We start from the raw sequence: 25,265 nt of genomic DNA on the forward strand, positions 1-25,265 counted from the left end.
GCCTCACAAAGTGCTGGGATTACAGGCATCAGCCACTGCACCCGGCCATGTGGTTTTCTTTTTAAACCTCTGATCTATTTGAAATGGATCCCCGTGTAACATGTAAAGATTAAATTTTATTTTTTTCTTTGCATTTATCTCAGCACCCCAACGCTAATTATTATAAATTCTACATTTCCTCACTGTTTGAGAGGCCACCTTTCCTATGTATTATGTTTATATATGAAATCAGGTCTATTTCTGTTGTGTTCCAATGGTTTGTCTATTCATGGGTCAGAATCACACTATTTGAATTATAGTATCTTAATAATACATTTTAATATTAATATCTGATAGGGCTAGTCCTTGCCCTGATTTCTTTTATTTTCAAGGGTTTTCCTAACTATTGTTTCCAAACAAACTTTATAATCAACTTGTCTAGCTGAAAAAACAAAACAAAATTTGATGGCATTTTTATTGGGCTTTAGTTTATTGAGTTTGTGTATTAACTTAGGTATAACTGACATTTTAATGATAGTTACCGTCTTATCCAATAATATGGTATATACTTCCATTTGCTTAAGAATACTTCTGTAATGGCGGGCGTGGTGGCTCATGCCTGTAATCCCAGCACTTTTGGAGGCCGTGGCGGGCAGATTACGAGGTCAGGAGTTCAAGACCAGCCTGGCCAACATGGTGAAACTTCATCTCTACTAAAAATACAAAAATTAGCCAGGTGTGGTGGCACATGCCTGTAATCCGACCTACTCGGGAGGCTGAGGCAGGAGAATCACTTGAAGTCAAGAAGTGGAGGTTGCAGTGAGCCGAGATCATGCCATTGCACTCTAGCCTGGGTGACAGAGAAACACTCTGTCTCAAAAAAAAAAAAAAAAAAAAAAAAAAAACTTTTGTACTCTTTTCCAAAAGTATTTTATAATTTTCCTCATACATGTTTTTTACACCTCTAGTTAAGTTTCAGCATTTTAATTTCTGTGTTATTGTACATGGGGTCTTCCATATGTTCTAGGTGACTTGAAAAAAATATATACATATATATTTTACACATATGTATGGATTATACATATATCTTTTATACATATGCGTGATTATACATATATTTATATTTTATATATATATCCATTATACATATATATGTATACATGTATTATACATATATATTCTTTATTTGTAGATTTTTATATATTGGAGTTATTAGCCTTGATCTCTGGTTTGAATTACAAAGTTTTTCATAGGTGTTATTTTTATTTTATATATAATAAATTAATTATATTATACATATGTATAATAGCTTTCAAAAAGCCTGCCCGCCTTTCCTTCCCTTCCTCCCTTCCTCTCTTCCTTCCTTCACAAGACAGAGTCTTGATCCGTCGCCCAGGCTGGAGTCCAGTGGCATGATCAAGGCTTGCTGCAGCCTTGACCACCTGGGCTCAAGCTATCCTCCTCCCTCAGCCTCCTGAGTAGCTGGGACTACAGGTGCTACAGATGTAGCCAGGTGGGACTATGCCACCACACCTGGCTAATTAAAAAAAATTTGCATAGAGTGGGTCTTGCTATGTTTTCTTTCTTTTTTTATTGTTATTTTGAGACAAGAGTCTCACTACGTTGCCCAGGCTGGTCTTGAACTCCTGGCCTCAAGTAATCCTTCCACCTCAGCTACTTGAAGTGCTGGGATTAAAGGAATGAGCCTCCACGCCTCACCTATAACTTGCTAATTTAATAAGTTATTTTGTTTGTAGTAGTTTTCTCATGGATGCTTTTGGATTTTCTTGATACATAACTATATTATCCCAAAAAAAGATGGTTTTACTTATTTTCCAATTCCTGTGCCTCTAATTGCTTTCTATTTCCATTAGCTACTATCTCCAACACAATGTTAAAGATAAAAAATTAAAGCCAATGCTCAACTATACTAGTAATTAGGAAAATATTTCTTGTAGCAATAAAACATCGAATTGGCAAAATTAGGAAGTGCTGACCATGATGTGAAGCAATGGGAATGCTTATGATGCTAGTGTGGGTGTAAATTCATATAGCGACTTTGGAAAGCTGTTTGGAATTACCTAATAATACTGAAGATGTACTCTAAGGTCCAATCATTCCATCTCTTATGTAAAGAACAGAAAAGCTCACACATGTTCAAAAGAGATATGAACAAGAATGCTCACTGCTGTATTATTTTTAATGTAAAAACTGAAAACAATTTAAATGTCCACAGAAAGAATAACAGATATATAAGTTGTAGTATATCCTGACAAAAGAATATCTTACAGCAATTAAAACGAATGAATAAATGACATGTGTCAACATGGAGAAGTCTTAAAAACACAGTCAGAAGTGAAAAAAGCAAGTTGCAAAAAATACAATGTGATACCATTTATATGTTGTTTAAAAACATGCAAGTTAATAGTATGTAATTTTAATATTTATAAATAGTAAAAATACAACAGTACTCATATTTAGTAAAAGTATGTATGACAGTCAATAGTCTCTAGTCTTCCTAGTTATGCAACTAAGAAGTTTTCACAAATTCTTTTTGTTTGGCAATGATACATTCCATATTTCAGACACGTTTCTTCTGGGGAAGGATAAAAGAGAACGAACTTAGAGGAAGCTTCGACTGTGTTAATGCTTTATTTTTAAAACTCTATCTACCTACCTACCTACCTATCAAGTTTTATTAAAAATGGGAGTAAGAAAATTGATTTTTATTACATTGTTCTGGAACTTTTCTGTAAATTCAAGACAGTTCATAACAAATTAATTAATTAAATTATGAATTCGGTTAGAACTTCTAGAAAATTAGCCAAAATACTGACAGACTGACCCTCTCAGTGAAGTACAAGACATGAGAAAAAAAAAATATTCTTTAACTGACACAATGAGCAATGAAGACAAATCTCTTAAACAATTAACTCTGAATACAGCTGAATGAATTTTGTCATTGCTCTTCCTGCTGAGGACATCAGCCAGTAATCATATGAGGTCTATATGGGACATCAGGCTTCAGATAGAGCATGTGGGCTGTCACAGCAGAAATATTGTATACTGCATGCATGAAAGACTGTATAAAACATACATATGTTCTGCCATGTGCCATTTCCTTTCTTTAGTTTTTCTAAACTTTCTCAAACTTTTTCTAAAGTTGAGAAATATCTTAGATATTAAAGGATAAACATTTAGCATAGTTGAACCTAAGGTACAAAGTAAAACCAGCTGTTACCAGGAGATTAACTACCAAAAAAAAAAAGAAAAAGAGAAAAAAGAAATCAGACTTAAAGTCTCAGAATTAAGCCCAATTCTAAAGTGAGTATCCCTTTTATCTGGAAGAATCAATCAGTAACTCTTAGTGACAAGTGAGTTCACAACACTACACAAAAATAGAATTAGAAAGGAAATAGACTAGAATCCAGCCCTCAAGTATCTTATTTCAAAATAATGTATGTGTCATTTATAGATAAGGTTTATGAGACTCTTCGGGCAGAAAAGAAAAATGTCAAGTAGAGACAAATACAGAGGAAGCAAGAGCTCCTTTACAGTAACAAATACCACAGGCCTCTCCTGCTTAACTGTTAGCAGTACAAGGCCCCTGGGTGTTCACCTCTGATGCAGCATCATTAACCCCTGCCTTCTGCTCTACAAATCTAATTTCTCCAGGAGGCTGTCCAGATAGCCACTTCCTTAGACCAGGAGAGAAATTACTCCGATGGGGTTTGGGGAGCAAATGTTAATGTGTTACTTACCTGGGGACAGTTGGCTACATGGCATCTAGTATATTCACCCATCAGTTAGAAAGATAATTTTTAGCTACTACTTTTATGCAACAAGAGTGCCAAACTCATCTCAATATTCAGAAGTAAAGGTCAGCAAACTTTTTTGTAAAGGGCCAGATAGTAAATATTTTACTATCTGTTTACAGGGCATCTATCACAACTACTCAACTCTACTGTACCATGGCAAATGCAGACACAAATAATATGTATACAAATAGACATGGCTGTATTTCATTAAAATTATAAAAGCAGGGCGAGGTCCCGGATTTGTCTTAGTGGCTATAATTTGCCTACCCCTGATCTAAAGCAATTAAGGACACTTTGAAAGGGAACTGTCCCATATGCCCATGTTAAGTTCTTTTTACTTTTTAAAGCCCAATTCAATCCCATCTTCAAAAAATACACATCAATTACTTATATGTAAGCCCTGCTTCCCTCAATGAAACCTTTCTATCTCATTTTCCAGGCCTCACTGCCCTGCTTCCTCTGAACAAAACACATAATGCAGGATTTTTAGCCTTTCAGAGATTAAGGAGCCCTTTTAGAAACTGGTGAAAGTTATGAACACTTGCCAAGCAAATGCACACATACATATGCATAATTTTATATCCCTTTTTATAGAGGTCACTGATACCCTGGAATTTGCTGGAAGTGAAGCTAGTATGTCCAAGGATTCCAGGTTGCTGCCATACCTCTTGAATTAGTTACTAACAAACATCTCACAGTTACTGTGGGACAGGAATTTGAAAACAACTTAGCTGGGTGGCTCTGGTTTAGAATCCCTCATGTGGCTGAAGTTGTTTGTGAAAGGAAAATAAAATCTCAGGACCCTAATTCACTATGCCAACAGGAAAAAATTAAACTGAAAGCTGAGTCATGAGAGAAATTGCCTTTCCTTTTTTTATTTTTTTGAGACAGAGTCTCACTCTGTCGCCCAGGCTGGGGTGCAGTGGTGCTATCTCAGCTCAATGCAACCTCCACCTCCTGGGTTCAAGGGATTCTCCTGCCTCAGTCTCCCAAGTAGCAGGGACTGCAGGTATGCACCAGCACACCCAGCTACTTTTTGTATTTTTAGTAGAGACACGGTTTCACCATGTTGGACAGGCTGGTCTTGAACTCCTGACCTCAGGTGATCTACCCACTGTGGCCTCCCAAAGTGCTGGGATTACAGGCATGAGCCACCACACCTGGCCTGCCTTTCCTTTTGTTCCTAAGCAGATAGCTACAGATAAAAGGTTAAGAATCTCCACAGATAGCTACTCTTATGTTCACCCTATCTTATGTAAAGTGCTGGGTTACTGAGCGCTAGATGAATACATAATTAACTATTCCTCTACCTGCTCCTTTTCTCTCGCAACATATGGATTCAGTAATGTGACCGTACTCTCCCTCTTTCCCCTCCAGCCCTTTTCCCCTTTATATAAATACTGAAGCCCTCAAAATCATCTTTGGAAAAAGGCATGAACCACAGATTGTTCCCATGAACTTGGGGTCCTTTTTTCAAGGCATGTCTTTGGCATTGGCAAAATAAACTTCTAAATTGATTGAGAACCATTTCAGATACTTTTTGGTTTACACGGTCAAGATGCCAACAGGGACTATAGTTGTCCACAGGCCGGATGGGGGATAGGGTTACTGCTTCCAAGATGGTACCTTCACAGGGCCACTGGCAGGAGGCCTCAGTTCCTTACCATGTGGGCTCTCCATAGGCCCTGGTGTCCTCATGTTGGCAGCTGGATTCTCACAGAAGGAGTGCTCAAGACACAGAGCAAGGAAGAATCCACTGTGCCTTTTATGACCTACTCCCAGAATTAAAACTGTCATATAATCTTTGTTCTATCCCTGAGGAGTCAGTAAGTCCAGCCCACACTCAAGAAATTAAGCTCCACCTCTTAAAGAAAGGAACATGAAAGAATTTTTAAAACCACATCTTACAACCATCAATACCTCCAAGGAACTCAATGATACCAAGAAGGTGGTATTATGTTTAATCTGCCTGGAATCCCTCACTGTTCCTAGCACCATAATTATTACATAAATACCTGGCATGACTCATCACTATATTGAGTTAGGTAGGGGTCAAGTAGTTTTTTATAACAATTTTGTGAATTTGGTAGCAATCTTCAGAAGTATCTAAATAGAATCTTTAACTCTCATAAATGAATTAAACTATAAAATGAAGAATAGATGACAATTCCTAAACTATGCTCCCACAGCTTAAGTGTAAATCCTCCTCCTCCAAATTCTGGCAGGAAGATCTTACATAAGAAGGTAAAAAAGGATAAATTTTGTTAAGAAATTTATCATTTTGAAAATTAAAAAAAGAACAAAATAAGCATAGCAATCCCTGAGCAGTTAAGATTTACTTTCTTAACTGAAGAAAGAACCATCTTCTGACCATTTCCTGAATTCCCAACTTTCAGATTTTCCCCTTAAGGTTTTTCACCCAAGTTCTGTGTATATATAAACCTGCTAAGCACACAGCCTCAGGTGGTAGAGCTGCCACACATAATCAATAAGGTCATAGAGAATTAAATGTACAAGTCACATTGGCATTAATTAGTGTACCTGTAAAAGTCCCTAATATATAAATTAAGATCTTCATGTAAAACAAAAAACAAAAAACAAAAATCCCGAAAAGTTTAAAGTTTTTATTACATTTTCTTTTGTTTTAATAGATTCCAGCACAAACATGCACAGAGAATGTATATAAGTATTCCAAGATGTCTTGGAATAATAAGCACTCCAACATTTATAGGTCATGTCTCTAAGGTAAAGAAGTAGATTTGTAGTTAGTCTGTACCTTTGTACCTTTAAAGACATCTGCATTCCTTTTTTTTTTTTTTTTTTTTTTTTGAGATGGAGTCTCGCTCTGTTGCCCGGGCTGGAGTGGAATGGCACGATCTCAGCTCACTGCAACCTCTGCCTCCTGGGTTCAAGCAATTCTCCCGCCTCAGCTTCCTGAGTAGCTAGGATTACAGGTGCCTGCCACCACGCCTGGCTAATTTTTGTAATTTTAGTAGAGATGGGGTTTCACCATGCTGGCCAGGCTGGTCTCAAACTACTGACCTCAGGTGATCTGCCTGCCTTGGTCTCCCAAAGTGCTGGGATTACAGGCGTGAGCCACCACGCCCAGCTGACATCCATATTCTTTAGGGAAGGGAGTATAAAGTAGGAGAAACTGAATTTCCCAATGGAAATGTGAGCTAAAAGTAGATGATAGCTTTGGAATGAACAGTTACACGCCTTCTTTTTTCTTCTTCTGTGGGAAATGGGCACTATGGGTCCCTGGCTGTGTGTGTATACTTGAATATCAGATCCAGTAGTTGTAATTCCTCATGCTATCTAAAATTCTGGGAATCCAGCATACTGGACAGGTTCAACAATGAGAGGCTGGTATACATAGTGATGTCATTTGACATATTTCATATTATAAACCATTCCAGAGCTTACTTCTATTTGAGTCCTTTACTAAGAACTACCTCTGCCACCTGGGTATTTGTCAGATAAGTGGCGATGGTTTACATAATACTAGATACAGATTAGTCCCAGTAAGTCCCATTATTAGAGTATGTGTTCCACAACTGCAGCAATTTTGTAGTTTTTATTTACTAATGCGGACCTACCACCTAACACAGTATCAGTTAGTTGAATCTATGAATACACAAATAAATAAAGCTTTCACCTTATCTCTGGTGTTAGGTTATTGTGACAGAGAAAGAAACGGGGTCGGGGGGGAGAGAGAGAGAGAGAGAGACAGAGAGAGAGAGAGAGTCAGCAAAAGTATAATTCATTATTCAAGTGTCTTAAAGTATATTAATTTTAAATGCATAAATATAAATTCTCTTCCTTTGATGTACAGGTACTCTTGGAAATTACCAACGTATGACTGTCCTCTTCCAATCTTTTCCTCTTGCACGACTGTACCCAAGCTGTATTTGGCAGACACTGACACCTATCAGCCGACAGAAAATGGTTTCCCTCTGTGAATATACAGTCATCCCTCAGTATCCATAGGGGATTGGTTCCAGGACTGCCCTCAGCAAAAATCCACCCATGTTCAAGTCCCTTATGTAAAAATGACATAGTATTTGGATTAACCTATGCAAATCCTCCTGTATACTTTAAATCATCTCTAGATTATTTATGATACCTAATACAATGCCTACACATCACTTCATTCATGTGGATTCAACATAGGAATCAGTGTGCTACAAATCCAAGTATTGCTTTTTGAATTTTGTGGGGATTTTCTCCCCCAAAATATTTTCTTTCTGAGGTTGGCTAAAACCATGGGTGTGGAACCCATGGTGACAGAGGGTTAACTGTACATTCTCCAATCTTCTTCCTTAAATTCTTATTTTCCAACTTTGGTCCAATTAATAACAGGGAAATCTCTTTCTACATTCACTCCACTGACATACAGGATATTCTTGTAGAATTTATCAAAAGTGTATTCTCTGGACCTAGGGTTCTCATGAAAAAGAGTTCCATGATCATATGAGATTCATAGTGCTACACATTGTATGTTTGCCAATTTCCCTATTTTGACTTCATTAATCTAGAAACAAACTCTGTGATAAAATTAGCAAGGTTAAGTCACTTCACCAGTAAAGGTACTATTTGAAATTGCTAAAAGGAGAAAAATGATGGAAATAACACACACTAGGGAAACAGGAGCAAAACAATAATCATAGGGCCTAAAATAAACTTCTATGTATGCATGTGTTTATTTTTATTTAATTCCCAAAGATGTAAGAAATAATTTATTAGCCATGGACAACAGAAGAAAAAATTTTAATACATTTGTTAGTGAAGACCTTACCCATGCAATACTTATAACTAAAAACACCAATTTATATATCAATCCCCTACTTACAGAAATATTACCAAAAAAATAGACTCTAATTGAAATAGAAAGTTTAGAGTCCCATGGGTAATTATATACTCTTAGCAAACACAATGAACTGTATATGACCTGCATAGATCAATTAATATTTGAGCAGTAGCAGTATTCCATTCTGATTGGACATGACAGAGAGTATGACAGACACAGCAGAAAGCAGGGTTAGGGAAAGAAACTGGAGCCAGGCTCTAGAAGACCTTTAATACTAATCCAAGGAGATAAGGATTTGGGACAGGCAAACAGAGGCAGGGGTATGATTGCAATGACCAAGCTGGGTGGATTCGAGGTGACACAGGTTGAAGAGATGCATGTAAACACCACATGAAGAGGGACAAACACCTGAACTAGGTTGATGCAATGATGAAGAGAAAAGAAAGAATGGATGTGAAGGAGTTTTTGAAGGCAGAGTGAATATGACTTCATAATAGGTTGGATGTGGGGGAAGTTGGAAACAATTAAAGACAAACTTTAGGTTTTGAGTCCAGGTGACTAGGAGAATCATGATGCCATTGGTAGACATACACATAAGAGGAAAGATATATTTGCCAGGAATGGTAATGAGTTTCTTCTACCTTGAGCATACTGAATTTGAGAAGTTAGTGTGATATGCAGCAGAGACAACATAGAGACAAGAGGGAGAAGTAAACAACTTAAGTGAAAGGTAGGACTTGAAATGTAGGCTTGAATTTTTTACTCAACAGAAATCAGAGTTTCCTTTATGAGAGCAGATGAGCTTAGCAAAGGGGAAGAAGAAGGCAGGGAGAATCCCCTGCTAGCAGGCTACAGGAAAAAGTATAAATGAGAAGGAAAAAGGGAAGAGGCCAAAAGAAAGAGGAAAGGGAAGAGGTCAGAGGCCAGAGGCAAACCAGGAGAATGCCACGGCAAACACTTCCAAGAAGAAACCATGAATAATGCCAAACGCTAAGGATTGAGAAAAAGCAAATGATTTTGCTTAACAGGTGTGTTCATTTGAGATCTTTGACTCAGCAGTTTCAGTAAATGATTGCGGTAAAAGCATATGTGGACATGCTAGAAAGATCTCCTTAAACATGATACAAAAGCAAAAGCCTTCAATTTCAATTGTGACAGTATCAAAATTTAAAACTTGTTTGTCAAAAGAAATTATATAATTTAAAAGTAAGTTATAGGGTGAAAAAAAGACTACTCATCAAAACCAGATAAAGGATTAATACTAACAATCACACACACACACACACACACACACAGTCACCAACTTAAGTAAGCAAAGGAACATGAACAGGCTATTCACAGAAAAGGAAGCTCAAATGTCTAATAAACATAAACAGAGATGTTCAACCACACTAGTAATCAGAGAAACAGTCATTTAAAAAAGGTGCAATTTTATCAGGCCAAAATTAGTAAGCCTGATAGTATCAAGTATTGTAACAGGTATGAGGAGAAAAACAAACGCGTCAACTAGAAAAGCCCATAGGAGAGAATTGGACAGTAGCTCTTAACCTTTAAAAACATCAGTAGGGCTGGGCATGGTGGCTGCCTGTAATCCCAGCACTTCGGGAGGCCAAGGCGGGTGGATAACTTGAGGTCAGGACTTGGAGACCAGCCTGGCCAACATGAGGAAACACCGTCTCTACTAAAAATACAAAAATTAGCCAGGTGTGGTGGCAGGCACATGCAATCCCAGCTACTGGGAGGCTGAGGCAGGAGAATCACTTGAACTGGGAGGCAGAGGTTGCAGTGAGCTGAGATCATGCCACCGCACTCCAGCCTGGGAGACAGAGCAAGACTCCATCTCAAAAAAGCAAAAAACAACAGTAGTAGGGAGCACTTCTATCCACTGATAAAAAAGAACCAGAACTTCTTTTATGGCTGATTCTAGGGCTGGGGCTGGGAAAATGGGAAAATATAAGGTGAGTCTGGAGTATTTTGTGAGATCAGAAAGCAAGGAGGTGCTCAAAAATCAAAAGTATGAGGTTAGGCAAAGGGACATGAGAGTCAACCCAAGACTCCCAATGGCCAAAGCTGGAACAATTTGAGCAACAAAATAAATAAATAAATAAATAAATAAATAAATAAATAAATAAATAAAATCATAGTATGGATTATAACCCAAATTATAAAATAAATATACATGAGTCCTTAAAATATAATTGAATGAACAAACAATAGAGAAAAAACAAATCTTCTTGCCTAAAAATTCCAAATAAAATCTACAGACAATACCTTCCTCCAGGAGATAGAGCTTATCACTCCTACCCCTTTGAGTGTGGGCTGGATTTAGTGACTCAATTCCAAAGAATACAGCATGAGAAGGGAAAAAGAGTAGCTTGGTGGAAAAACCTGACCAACACTACCTTGGCTAAGTAATCAAGACTAACATTGCCGGTGATGGAAGGTGGATACCCTAATATGATGTGATGCTATTTTCTCCAAACCCACAACCCAGTCTAATCATGAGAAAAACATCAGGCATGAAGGGATATACTACAAAATGCCTAACCAATACTCCTCAAAACTGTCAAGGTTATGAAAAACAAGGAAAAACTATCATAGTCTAGAGAAGACAAAGGAGATATGACAAATTAATGCAATGTGGTATCATGAATTGGATCCTGGAATAGAAAAAAGGACATTCCTGGAAGACCTGGTGAAATGTGAATATAGTCTGAAACATAGTTAATAGCAGTGCACCAATGTTGGTTTCTTAGTTTTGACAAAGATGTCATGATAATATTATCATCTTACATTAGGGGAAACTGAAAATGGGTTAGGGGTACACAGGAACAATCTGTACTAACTTTGCAACTCTTCTAAATTACTTCTAAATTTTAGTAATTCTAAAATTACTCCAAAGTAAAGTTTTTAAAGATGTAAAATAAATATACCCCAAGAACAACACCACCACTTCTTTCCATCCACTTTAAAGAAATTGTTGCAGAGGTGCACAAGAAGGCATGTGCAAAGGTCTTCACTGCAGAATTGTATCAAAGAAAAATTTAAAATAATTTTAATAGAATGACGAAATAAATCATGAAATACATTATGGAATATAGGTTTAAAGAATGAGATACATCTATATGTACTGAGAAGACATAATGGGGTGAAAAATAAATTGCAGAAGGACACTATGGTATATGACATTATTTATGTTAAAAAAAAGAAAAACGTGCCCGGGTGCAGTGGCTCACGCCTGTAATCCCAGCATTTTGGGAGGCAGAGGCGGGAGGATCACAAGGTCAGGAGATCGAGACCGGCCTGGCTAACATGGTGAAACCCCGTCTCTACTAAAAATACAAAAAATTAGCCAGGCATGGTGGCGGGTGCCTGTAGTCCCAGCTACTTGGGAGGCTGAGGCAGGAGAATGGTGTGAACCCAGGAGGCGGGGCTTGCAGTGAGCCGAGATGGTGCCACTGCATTCCAGCCTGGGCGACACAGCAAGACTCTGTCTTAAAAAAGAAAAGAAAAGAAAAAGGAAAACACAATAGTTTTTGTATATACTTCCAGGGGCATATATAAATATATGTATATGCGTAGGTAAAGGTCTGGAAACATACACAGCAACCTGGTTACAGTGGTTATACAGACGGGAGTGAAATTAGAAATGGTAGTCCACGGATTTGAACTTGACCCTGTGATTTGAAATTATTTTACAAGGAGAATGCCTTCACCATTTACCTGGGGAATTAGGAATGATTGATTTTTTTTTAAGTACGGGAATTTTTTCTGACATGGAGAGAAAATGACAAGAGTAAGGTTCTGGCAGTTGATATTGTGCAGTGAGGCAGAGGGTGTCCCATGGAGGACAGTGCTATTGCTAGAGGCCTTTGGCCTGAAGCCTTGCATAGGTACCTGGGACAAGCACTTCCTCCCACAATGGATGTTACAGCAGCAGCTAGACTTAACAGTGGGAACTCCAATAATTAAATGTTCCGTTTATTTTGCTTTGCAATAGAGGTACATGCACCTGGAAGGCTCTTACAGCCATCTGGATAAAAAGTCCCCAAGTGATAATGAAAGAAACTGACTTCTTCCCTCTACTCCAGCTGACTTTAGGATCCAAAGATCATTTTTCAACCTTAATGTCTAAAATAAAAGCAGAACCACAGGAACACTGCAGTTCCTTTACATAATAAATGTCAAATTAAAATTCTGGCAGACACTAAAGATTACGCACCTTTTTCTTTATACTTATCATCTCACATTAGGCCAATACATTTCCTTACAAAATGGGATTACAAAAATCATATGGAAAATCTGGAAGGAAATTTAACTCAGGGCATGTGTCTGAATAAGTGCTAAAACTCCATTAAGGGATTAGAGTTTTTCTTAATATATTTTAAGGGGATCATTTCCCATCAATAATCTTTGGTACTTAAAAAAATTTTTTAAGAAGCTTCAAATATATAATTAAAAGCTTTCTCTTCTACCAGATCTAAGTTTCAGTAAGTGATTAAAAACTATAGCCTCTTTCCAACTCTTAAGTCATTAAAACAGGCCACACAGATTCTACAGTCCATCACTATAATAATACTTAATACAAGAGTTACACAGTACTCTTTGCATGGGGACAACCAAACTTTAACCCTGATGAACTCAACTGTCCGCTTTCTCTGTGCTTGTGCTTAGTAGATGATAAGCTGGAAAATGTCACAGCATAAGAAAGGTTAATATCACTATGAATTTGTGATCATGAACCTCAAATGGGCAATGAACTATGCCTACCAAGTCCACACATTTCTGGTCATCTCACTCATCTCCTTTCCAAATGACCATTTTAAATCTTCTCCATTCTCCTCAAATCTGCAACCGTCCACTACCGTTATCCCTTCTCCCTCTTGTGCCTCCTCCCTCTTTACTCCTATCTTACAGATAAAACAGAAGCCATCAGAGGACAAGTATTTCATCTTCTCAAAACCTATATGCAAATCTTTTCCAGCCACTCCAATACTGATCTCCTTCTGTCCTGTTACAAAAGGAGAGCTATCCTGCTCCTGAGGCTGGTCGGTCCACCAGAGCTTGAGATACCAGACCTTTCCATCTTGTCCTGGAATCCTGCCTCATCAGTCATACCTTCTTTCTCATGTGTAATCAACCTCTTCTCAACAGGACCTTCCCTGTTGGCTTTTATATTTTTTGAGACAGGCTCACTCTGTCATCCAGGCTGGAGTGCAGTGGCGCGATCTAGGCTCATGGCAACCTCTGCCTCTTGGGTTCAAGTGGTTCTCCTGTCTTAGCCTCCCAAGTAGCTGGGACTATAGGTGCACACCACCACACCCAGCTAATTTTTGGATTTTTAGTAGAGACGGGGTTTCACCATGTTGGCCAGGCTGGTCTTGAACTCCTGACCTCAAGTGATCCACCCACCTCAGCCTCCCAAAGTGCTGGGATTATAGGCATGAGCCACTGCACCCAGCCCCCTGTTGGCTTTTAAATGGACTCAAGTCAGTCTAACCCCACCTGCCTACCTTAAGTCAGCTTCCCATCCCCTTCCTCTCTGTTCTGCCGTTCACAGCCAAACTTCCTGAAACAGTGGTCCACACTTACTGTTTGTCATATCACCTCTCATTCACTGCTCACCCATTCCACCCCAGCTCTCATCCCAGGCACCCAAGATAATTCCTGTAAAAGTCACTAATAACCTTTGTAATCTACATCCAATGCATGTTTTACATTCAACATCTTACCTGACCTCTCTCTCAGCAGCGTTTGACTACTTTCTCCTTCTTAAAGCAGTTTCCTCCCTTAGCCTCTAAAAAGCAATACTGTTGTTTTCCTCCTGTCTCACCACTCCTCTATCTCCTTTCCAGACTCACCCTCCTTCAATTAGCCTATAAATGTGGGAGTTCTTCACTGCTCTGTCTTCCATTCTTTCTTCCTAAATAATCTTACCCATGCCATTGGCTTCAATTACAACCAATATGCAGATGACTCACAAATTTACAAATCCAGCCCCAACCTTTTATTTGAACCCCAGGTCTATATATTAACATTCTATTTGCTATTCTCTCTTGAACAACTCAAATGCACCTCAAACTCAACATGTATAAAAGTGAACCAATTATCTTCTCCCAAAACTTTATCTTCTTCCAATATTATCTATCCCAGTATATAGTGGCCCATTCCTCAAATCCAATCAATCATCAAGTATGCAATTTTACTTACTAAGTATCTCTCAAATCTATTGCAGCTACCATCACCCAGGTCCAAACTAAAATAATTTCTCTTAGGCTACTGCAATAGCTTCCTATCTGATCTACCCAAATCCAACTATTCTCTAGATGGTTGCCAGAACAATCTTCCTGAAGCTTAAATTAAACCACCTCTTGCTTCTCTCTGGATAAAATGTTCAATCGGTTCTTATTGTTCTTAGGATAAAGACTAAATTCTTTCAAGTCCCTTTGGGTCCCTGAGTTGGTCTGTCTCTTCCCTACTCTATGCCTGTTTCTCTCTCTCTCTATTACAGCCACCCTGACCTTCCCATCCCTTGTACTCACTGTACTGCCTCCCACCCCTTGCCTAGAAGCTCTTCACAGTAAACTCCTTCTCCTCCTTCAGGCAGCAGTCAAGCATCAATTCTTTTTTTTTTTTTTTTGAGACGGAGTCTCGCTCTTGTTGCCCAGACTGAAGTGCAATGGGGCGCTCTCGGCTTACCGCAACCTCCGCCTCCTGGGTTCAAGTGTTTCTCCTGCCTCAGCCTCCTGAGTAGCTAGAATTACAGGCATGTGCCACCACACCTGGCTAATCTTGCATTTTTAGTAGAGATGGGGTTTCTCCATGTTGGTCAGGCTGGTCTCGAACTCCCTACCTCAGGTGATCTGCCAGCGTTGGCTTCCCAAAGTGCTGGAATTACAGGCGTGAGCCACTGAGCCCGGCCCAAGCATCAGTTCTTCATGGACTCCTATCCTGACCCAGTTGGTCTCTCTCTGATTTGTTCTCATAGCACCATTTATCTCTTCATCATAGCACTGATCAGTTTGCAGTTTTACATTTACTTATTTTTCCTGCTAGATTGTAATAAGTCTGTGATACAAGGTCTCTTTTAGCTCAATATTAAATTCCTAATACCTAGCACAAGAGTACACATTTAATAAGTATTTGCTGAACGAATCAATGACCTTCTCTAATACCTGAAGTTGAAAACTTTTCTATTAGTTGTCCAGATTCTATGGATTCTTACAATTCAGCTTCTTTTGTCTAGTTTCATTGAAAATGCCTTATCCCTTTATATATAAATTTCCTACAGCAGCCTTGTAGGATGTAGCCTTAGCTTTAGCTTCTCTCCAGTTCACCTCTTACTACACAAAATTAACAGGATGCTGGGCAATATCTTCTTACAGGCAATCAAGATGGTAACAGGAAAGCGGAAGGACTACAAGGAAAGGGAAGCTTGAAGCCACTCCATCTGAGAATGTTTGGCCTGGAGAGAGTAGCAGGTTACCTGAATCTCTGAAGAGCTATCATATTCAAAAAATAGCAGCTCTGGAAGAGTGTCTAGGAAGCAGATTTCTCTCAAATAAAAGGAAGACCATTCTAACAATTAGAAATTCAGTGTAGTTGCTTTCCAAGTCATAACTTTGCCATAACCCAGTGGATTCAAGCACAATCTGGTGAAACGCGTATCACAGAGATTCTTAAATATCACCTCATATCACAGTGATTCTTAATTTTTTTTTTCAGCTGTGGAACCCTTTCTTCCAAAAAACCCTCTTGAGTAGAGACTAATATTTGAAAGAAATAAATGTGAGCATCTCTACAGTAGGTGTCTGACCCCCACCCCACCTTCCCAAGCCCTCTGGAAGCCACATACTCTCCCATTAGCTAGAATCCACTATTTGAACATGTGGATGCTTTTGCTGCCCAGCTCTTTTCAGTTTTTCCTGGAATAGGGGTGGAGTGGGGGACAGTACTTTCTACCTTTTGTTCTATTTTCTTTAATTCAGCAAAAGAATACTGTTCTCCATGAAAACCTGTTCCGTAGATGCTGTGGTTTGAATGTTTGTGGCCTCTCCAAAAGTCATTTTGAAACTTAATTTCCAATGCAACAGTATTTAGAGGTAGGGCTTTTGAGAGGTGATTAGACCATGATGGCTCTGCCCTCATGGATGAGATTAGCACCTTTTAAAAGGGCTAGTGGGCCAAGCGTGTTGGCTCACCCCTGTAATCCCAGCACTTTGGGAGGCCAAGGTGGGTGGATCACCTGAGGTCAGAAGTTCGAGACCAACCTGGCCAACCTGATGAAACCTCGTCTCTACTAAAAATACAACAATTAGCTGGGCGTGGTAGCGGGCACCTGTAATCCCAGCTACTTGGGAGGCTGAGGCAGGAGAATCACTTGAACACAGGAGGCAGACGTTGCGGTGAGCCGAGATTGCGCCATTGCACTCCAGCCTGGGCGACAGAGTGAGACTCCGTCACAAACAAACAAACAAAAGGCTGGTGGGGGCTAGCTGGGCCCTTTTGGCCTTCCATCCCTTCTATCCTGTAAGGATATAGCAACAAGGCACCATCTTGGAAGCAGACATGGGGCCCTCACCAAACATCAGACCTGCTGGCACTTTGATCTTAGACTTCCCAGCCTCCAGAATCCAGATAAATACATTTCTGTTGTTTATAAATTATCTAGTCTCAGGTATTTTGTTATAGCGGCACAACAGACTAAGACATTAGCATTTATATAGATTTTGGTTTTTTGAATAAATTCTGGGGGTGTATTTACCATGCTGCCTTAACGTGACTGTAAGTTCCTGTTTGGCAAAATCTTTGTTCTCCTGCTTCAAAATCACTTATTAATACAGTAGCAAGTATAGCAGGAGGTAATAAAAAAGAGAAAAAAGAAAAACTTAGACCTTTCTCATATGAAAGGTTAAGACAACTACTTCAGGTCTGACTTATAAAACTATCTCACATACGATTAGAAAACATAGAACAGAGAAGAAACAATTTTATTTACAGATTTCCCTTCCATCCTCTACCCAATCCCAGTCCCCAAGCCATTTGTATTCTCACAGATCATGATTATACTTGTCTCATATTTTTTCATCAAAAGAAGGAAACCAGATTCTCCTCAAGGAAGCAATCTGAAGAGAATAACTGCTTTTCATAGGACACCTGTTATTTCTAGTAAAAAAAAAAGCTGACTTTTATTATACGTCTTATTTTCTGTCTCTTCTTTTATGATTACTACTGGATTCATGGATAGTATACGAATTTCAAATAAAACAAGTTTTAGTTTAGGCCATTGTACAGTCATGTGTCGCTTAACAACGTGCATACATCCTGAGAAATGCATTATTAGGCAATTTTGTCTTTGTGTGAACATCATGGAGTGTACTCAGACAAACCTAAGTGATACAGTCTATTATTCCTAGGCTACAGACCCATAGCGCACATTACTGCATTGAATACTGTAGGCAATGGTAACACAATGGTAATTATCTATGTATCTAAACATATCTAAACACAGAAAAGGTACAGGAAAGATAGAGTATTATAATTTTATGGGACCACTGCCATATATGCAGTCTGTCATTGCAATGTCACTGTGCAGTTCATGACTGTACTTACAAGTCTAAAGGAGATATTTGCCATTTACAAATGAAAGAAGTATGTGCTTAATTTGCTTAATAATGAATGGTCCCTAGATGTACACATTTTGGTGATAATACTAACAGACAAATATGTGAAAAGTGATTTCAAATGATGCATTTATATTTTTCCATAGGCACCTAACTACTTCTCTGTATCTTTAGAGTAATTTCCATTCAATGGATTCTTGTTCTAAGGAGCTAAGGCATTGGACTTCTAAAGAAAACCACATTTGTACCCATAAATTCTGATCTATAACATCAGATATGAACATACTGTAAATCAGAAGTTTCTGCTACTGATGTTACAGATTAAGAGGCATAAATTTCACTGAATATAGTATAGCAAACAATACATTTTGGGGAGTAATCAAAAGTCTGACACATTCTAAACTACCAGGAGAATTTCTCTTGAGGAAAAATATACATTCACAGTGGCCTTTTCACATCTCCTAATATTTTATGGTGAGAGACTACACGATACAATGAAAAGCACTGAATTTGAAATCAGGACAACCCAACTCTAATTCTGGTTTTGTCAGTAACATACTGACTAACTGAAGTTATTTCTCTTTTTTGTACTCAGATTTCTCAATTGTAAAATGTAAGACTTGAACATTCATTTCTGAAGTTTAAGTATATCCCACACTGCAAAGTCAGTGTACCCAATTGGGATGCACTGACAATGTCACCTTGTGACTCCTAAGTGGGAAGTGGAATAAACACTTACTTGAGATTGTTTAATAATTTTGTTTAATAATAATGTTCTTTAGGATTTGGTGACACTTGTCAATTCATTCATTCATTTACTCTAGCATCATATTCACACACTATTCAAATAAGTTAGCATAAATTGTTTTAGCAGGTTACACAACTATTAAATAATAGTCTTAGATACTCTGCTGGATATAAAATCAGTATAATTAACCTTTGTTTCTTTTGTTTTTAATCAACCAAAAAGACAATTTCCTCTAAATCTTCTCAAAACCACCTAATTTAATTTCCAAATTTATTTCAGGCAATGACAGTCTCTGCCACATCAGGTGCAGAGTATCAGAATTAAGCAGAGTTTGGCAATGATATCTTGGAAATGACACTAAAAGCACAGGCAACAAAAGCAAAAATAGAGAAATGGGACTATCTCACACTTAAAAACCTTTGTGCATCAAAAGACACAATGAACAAAGTGAAAAAGCAAACTCCAGAATGAGAGAACATATTTGCAAATCATACATCTCATAAGGGATTATTATCCAGAATATAAAGCATTCCTACAACTCAATAACAAATTAAAAGGAATTGATTAAAAAGGGGCAAAGGACTTAAACAGGGATTTCTCCAAAAATGATATACAAATAACCAACGAACACGAAAGGATACTCGATATCACTAATCAGCAGAAAAATGCAAATTAAACCACAATGATATCACCTCACATCCATTATGACGGCTATTATTAAAAAAAAAAACAGAATAACAAGCGCTAGCAAGGATGTGGAGAAACTGGACTGCTTGTGTACTTTTGATAGGATTGTAAAATGCTGCAACTGCTATAAAAGACGGTATGAAGGTTCCTCAAATAATTAAAAATAGAACTATCATATAATCCAGCAAACCCACTTCTAGATATATATCCAAAAGAATTGAGACTGAGCATGGTGGCTCAGGCACATAATCTCAGCATTTTGGAAGGCTGAGGCTGGAGGATTGCTTGAGACTAGGGGTTTAAGACCAGCCTGGGCAACATAGTAAGGTGCGGTCTCTATTTTTTTTTTTAATTAAAAGAAAAAAAAAAGAATTGCAAACAGGGCCTCAAAGAGATATTTGCACACCAATGTTCATAGCAGCACTATGCAAAATAGCCAAGAGGTAGAAGCAACCGAAATGTCCACTGACAGACGAAAAGATAAACAAAATGTGATATATACATACCATGGAATGATATTCAGCCTTTAAAAGGATGGAAATCCTGTCACATACTACTATGTGAATAAAACTTGAGGACATCATGCTAAATGAAATAAGCTAGTCACAAGAAGACAAACACTGTGATTCTACTTACACAAGATATCAAAAAGTAGTCAATGTTGGCCAGGCACGGTGGCTCACACCTATAATCCCAGTACGTTGGGAGGCTGAGATGGGTGTATCACTTGAGGCCAGGAGTTTGAGACCAGCCTGGCCAACACGGTGAAACCCCGTCTCTACTAAAAATACAAAAATTAGCCAGGCATGATGGCTCACGCCTGTAATCCCAGCTACTTGGGAGGCTGAGGCAGGAGAACCACTTGAACTTGGGAGGCAGAGGTTGCAGTGAGCAGAGATAGCACCACTGCACTCCAGCCTGAGTGACAGAGTGAGACTCTGTTTCAAAAAACAAACAAACAAAAAAAAAAAAGTAGCCAATGTTATGGACTGAATTGTGTCCCTTCAAATTAAGAAGTTGAAGCCCTAACCCCAATGTCCTTGTATTTGGAGATAGGACCCTGCTTTTCCTGTATTTGGAGATAGGACCCCAATGTCCCTGTATTTGGAGATAGGAGGTCATTAAGATTAAATGAGGTCATAAAGATGGGTCCCTAATCTGATAGGGCTGCTGTCCTTACCAGAAGAGGAAGAGACACAGGAGATCTCTCTCTCCTTTGACATGTGCAGGAGGAAAGGCCATGCAAGGACACAGAGAGAAAACAGCCATTTACAAGCCAGGAAGACAGCCCTCACGAGAAACCAACCCTTGATCTTGGACTTTTACCCTCTAAAATTAGACTTTTAGCCTCCAGAAAAAAATAAATGTCTGTTGTTTAAGGCATCTAGTCTGTGGTATTTTGCTATGGCAGCTCTAGTCAACTATAATATAGTCAAATTCATAGAAGTAGTAAGTAGAATGGTGGTTACCAGAGGCTGGGGTGAGTGGGAAAGAGGGTTGTGGTTTAATGAGTATGGAGTTTCAGATTTGCAAGATAAAAATGTTTTGGAGATCTGTTTCACAATAGAATATACTTAACGCTACCAAAATATACACTTAAAAATGGTTAAAATGGTAAATTTTGTGTTATGTGTTTTTAAACATAATTTTTAAAATTAAGTAGAGTTTCAATTTTCCTGCTGAAATAAAGAAAAAAAGATAAGGAAATACTAGTTTACAAGTAAAGACAACTACTAATACTATTCTAGGACTATGAAATATATATGGGTGTGGTTACATTTGTTTTTATTTCATTGGGAAAAAATAACATTTTTTAAACTGTCTAAAGCTAAAACAACACATCTATTTTAGAGGCAATATTTAGCAATATGTAGCAAAATAAAGAAACCAAATTAGTTTATAGTTTAGTCTCTATATTCTACTAAAGCTGAAGATAACATTTCATCATCATTTTTCCTTCAATATATTTTGTGAGAAAATATTAATAATAGTCAAATGTAGAATTGTTCTTCTCAGCTCAAATTTCCACATTCCTAAGTTAGATATTTTATCCTTTCAAAAAGGTGGGAAGAACCACTACCAATACCAATACTAGGACTCATGTAACTTACAAAGTGAAGAGAATTCAATTTTAGCTTAAATAAAAAACACTTCTTTACTCCCTACTAATTGTATTCTCCTAAGTCTTTTTCTCCTAAAAATACAAAAACAAGGAGCTTGATAACTATGAAATTCTTCACCAGTATTTAATAAAAACAAATCTACTCTTCATATTTCCAAAACAGAAAAAGAGAAGTATGACATAAACATTTATATTTTTTGTCACTTATTCTGTTTATCCTAACAAAGTTAAAGTGGATTATATTTAATAGAAATTTTGGCTCACCGGGTACGGTGGCTCATGCCTGTAATCCCAACATTTTGGGATGTTGAGGTGGGTGAATCACTTGAGCCCAGCAGTTCGAGATAAGTCTGTGCAACATGGCAAAACCCCATCTCTACAAAATATACAAAAAGTAGCTAGGTATGGTGATGTACACCTGTAATCCCAGCTACCTGGGAGGCTGAGGTGGGAGGATCACTTGAGCCCAGAAGATTGAGGCTGCAGTGAGCCGAGATTGACCCACTACACTCCAGCCTGGGTGACAAAGTGAGACCCTGTCTCAAAAAAAGTAAAAAATATAAGAAAAAAGAAATTTTGGCTCATGTGATAGTAAGATTTTCTTATTTGCTGGCCTAAATACAATTTCAAGAAAATCGTGGGTTATATAACACACTGAGGGAAAAGGCAGACACAGTTTGATTTCAGATGTCTTGATTAGGGTTTCTCAAATTTAGCACTATTGGCATTTGGGGTTGAAAAATTCTTTGTTGTGTACTGTAGGATGCTTAAGAGCATCCCTATTTACTAGACGCCAGTAGTTCCCCAAGTTGTGACAACTAAAAATGTCTCCAGACATTGCCAAATGTCTCCTGTGAGGCTAAATTACTCCCAGTCTACACATGAGGCCACAGGTGAACTGATGAATTGGCAGACTTAAACTACAGAAGTTAATATAGAGTCTAAAGCCAAAAAGTTAATATTTAGCATCTAAATGCTGATAAACAAACTAAAAAATGTGATATATGAAATAAATTATTTCCCCAATACAAAATTGTGGAGCAGTAAAAAAAACCGCTGTTGCTCACCAAGATGTGAAACGCTGGCTGAAGTGGGCAGGAGGGGAGGATGAAAAACAATACACTTCAAAGTGTTGAGAGAGATGTGTATCTATTGCTAGAAAGAAGGAACACTCTAAAAATATTACATGCCACTTTTTTGTGTATGCTCAAGGAAATAAAACCATAGTTACATTTTCTATTTTCCTCTTTTAGACTACCATCTGGCAATCCACACTTCCATTAGAAAAAAGTTCTAGCCAATTGGACTAAAATAGTTAATACACCACCCCATGTGCCAAAAATATGCCAGGAAGTCTACAGCTTGTTCAGTCACACCCAAAAAGAAAGACACTAATGTCCTTAAATGACAAAGTAAATAACTCACAGCATGTTTACCTACTTCTCTTCCTACCTCGGGGGCAGAGAGTCAAACAACAGCAGGAGGAAAAATAAAACAAAAGTAGTTACATGCAACAGGCAAACTAAAGTAACCAAACTAATTTATTAGATGTCAACTTGTCCCTAAGACATTTGGAGTTTAAAAAAACCTACTAATTGAATACAAGAGAACACATATGACTATAGTCACAATATTTCCAGTGTCAGAGGAATGTGTTAAGAATGAGTGAAGTAATAAGGCAGGTGCATCAAATTCTTATAATACTCTTCAAGAAAGGAAAGGTAAAGATTCTACATATAATGAATATAAAAATCAGCAAAATAACCACTTCCTTTTTCTTAATACTTGAAAGTTGTCAAAAGACAAACTGGTACATCCATGCTAGTATACCCTGTGAGTTATCTTTCACTAATCCATACAGGCAGGCTATGGTAACAAGAACCTACAGTTACCAATAGGTAAATAATGATTACCAAATATTACAAAGATAAGCAGAAAACCATGCACCACTGCATAAACATTAATTGTATGCTTTGAGCACTTTTATAAGTACTCATCTAGCTGAGCAAGACAGAGATGGCCCTGGTTCACATGAAGTTTACATTTCAGGGCAGGAATTCCAGTGAAATAATCAAATATTTGGGAAATGCACCACCATGAAAGAGAGGTACCAAACTTAACCTTTGTTTTCAAAAACAGAAGAGCCAACACCCAAGGAAAACATTAATAGAGAAAAAACAAGACTTTAAGTAGAAATACTATTCTCACAGAGATTGAGTGAATATTATATCTATAAAAAGAGATTATGACATAAGAGAAAATTTTGAGTGAGCGCTCACATTTAAACACATCTGTATAAAATCTTAGCCAAGGATAAAAAGAAAATCCTAAAGGTTTTTGGAGAGACAGAATAGGTATAATAAATTTTCAGATATTCACAGATTGACTATAGTACAAGGTTAAAAGAAGTATTAAAGAGTATACTTCATCACATTAAAAAATCAAACAAAGAATACTGAGCGAAAAAAATCACAAAAAGAGAAAATATCAAATAATACCCTATTTTTTTAAGGAAGTATTTATAATAAAGATACAAAACATTCATGGCCATGATGCATGAGAGTAGACAAATGGAGGAGGGCTTCAGCTTAATATTTCTTTAAGAAGAAATATAACCATCATATCATCAGAATCACAAAGGATCCAACATAGGAGGAGGTTGGGGAGGGAGCAAGAAGACAAACATGAATCTCCAAGTCTTTCCTTGTTCCAGTGAACAGTATGAATACTAATTAAATCTAAATATTGACAGTTAAAAAAATAGTAAATTTAAATGTGTATTAAAATTTTAAGGTTAATCACGAATAATCATTTTGAAATAAATAAAAAAGTTATTTTTTGCTTCCAAATCATTGGAAGAAAGAAATGACACAGAGAGGGCAACCAATCTAAAAGACAGCAAACTATGTCCAAATTCATCAAAATCACAATAAATGTGAATAATTAAATTCACTATTAAAATAGAAGGACTCACCTACTGGAGTTTTAAACTATCCAGCTGTACGCAGTTCATAAGGTATATCTTAATGCAATATACACTTGATTAAATGACACAAGACAGGCGAAAATAAACATAAAAAGAACAAATGAACAATTTTTTAAAAAGTAAATATAGCAATATTAACCATCAGGCAAATGTATTAGTAAGGGTTCTCTAGAGGGATGGAACTAATAGGACAGATATATACATATAAAGGGGAGTTTATTGAGGAGTATTAACTCACATGATCAAAAGGTCCCACAACAGGCCATCTGTAAGCTGAGGAGCAAGGAAGCTAGTCCCAAAGCTGAAGAATTGGAGTCCAATGTTCAAGGGCAAGAAGCATCCAGCATAGGAGAAGGATGTAGGCTGGGAGGCAAAGCCAGCCTAGTCTTTTCATGTTTTTTTCTGTCTGCTTTATATTCCAGCCATGCTGGCAGCTGATTAGATGGTGCCCACCCAGATTAAGGGTAGATCTGCCTTTCCCAGCCCACTGAC

General features: G+C 37.7%; 1 protein-coding gene across 14 annotated transcripts in view, besides 1 other annotated feature; it reads right to left on the reverse strand.

Moving 5' to 3' along the window:
- UBE3D (ubiquitin protein ligase E3D) overlaps nucleotides 1-25,265 on the reverse strand; it is a 185,040-nt gene that overhangs the window by 104,813 nt on the left and 54,962 nt on the right. The gene's annotated exons all lie outside the window — the stretch shown is intronic.
- Nucleotides 15,438-15,629: a silencer, noted in NCBI's record as "fragment chr6:83710771-83710962 (GRCh37/hg19 assembly coordinates)". NCBI's record gives its function as "represses an EF-1alpha promoter that drives an FKBP-Casp9 reporter gene in an ReSE screen in K562 erythroleukemia cells {active_cell/tissue: K562}" and the evidence as "EXISTENCE:reporter gene assay evidence [ECO:0000049][PMID:32094911]".

This window comes from Homo sapiens, chromosome 6 (assembly GCF_000001405.40).
Source record: "Homo sapiens chromosome 6, GRCh38.p14 Primary Assembly".
In the NCBI taxonomy this organism is placed as follows: domain Eukaryota; kingdom Metazoa; phylum Chordata; class Mammalia; order Primates; family Hominidae; genus Homo; species Homo sapiens.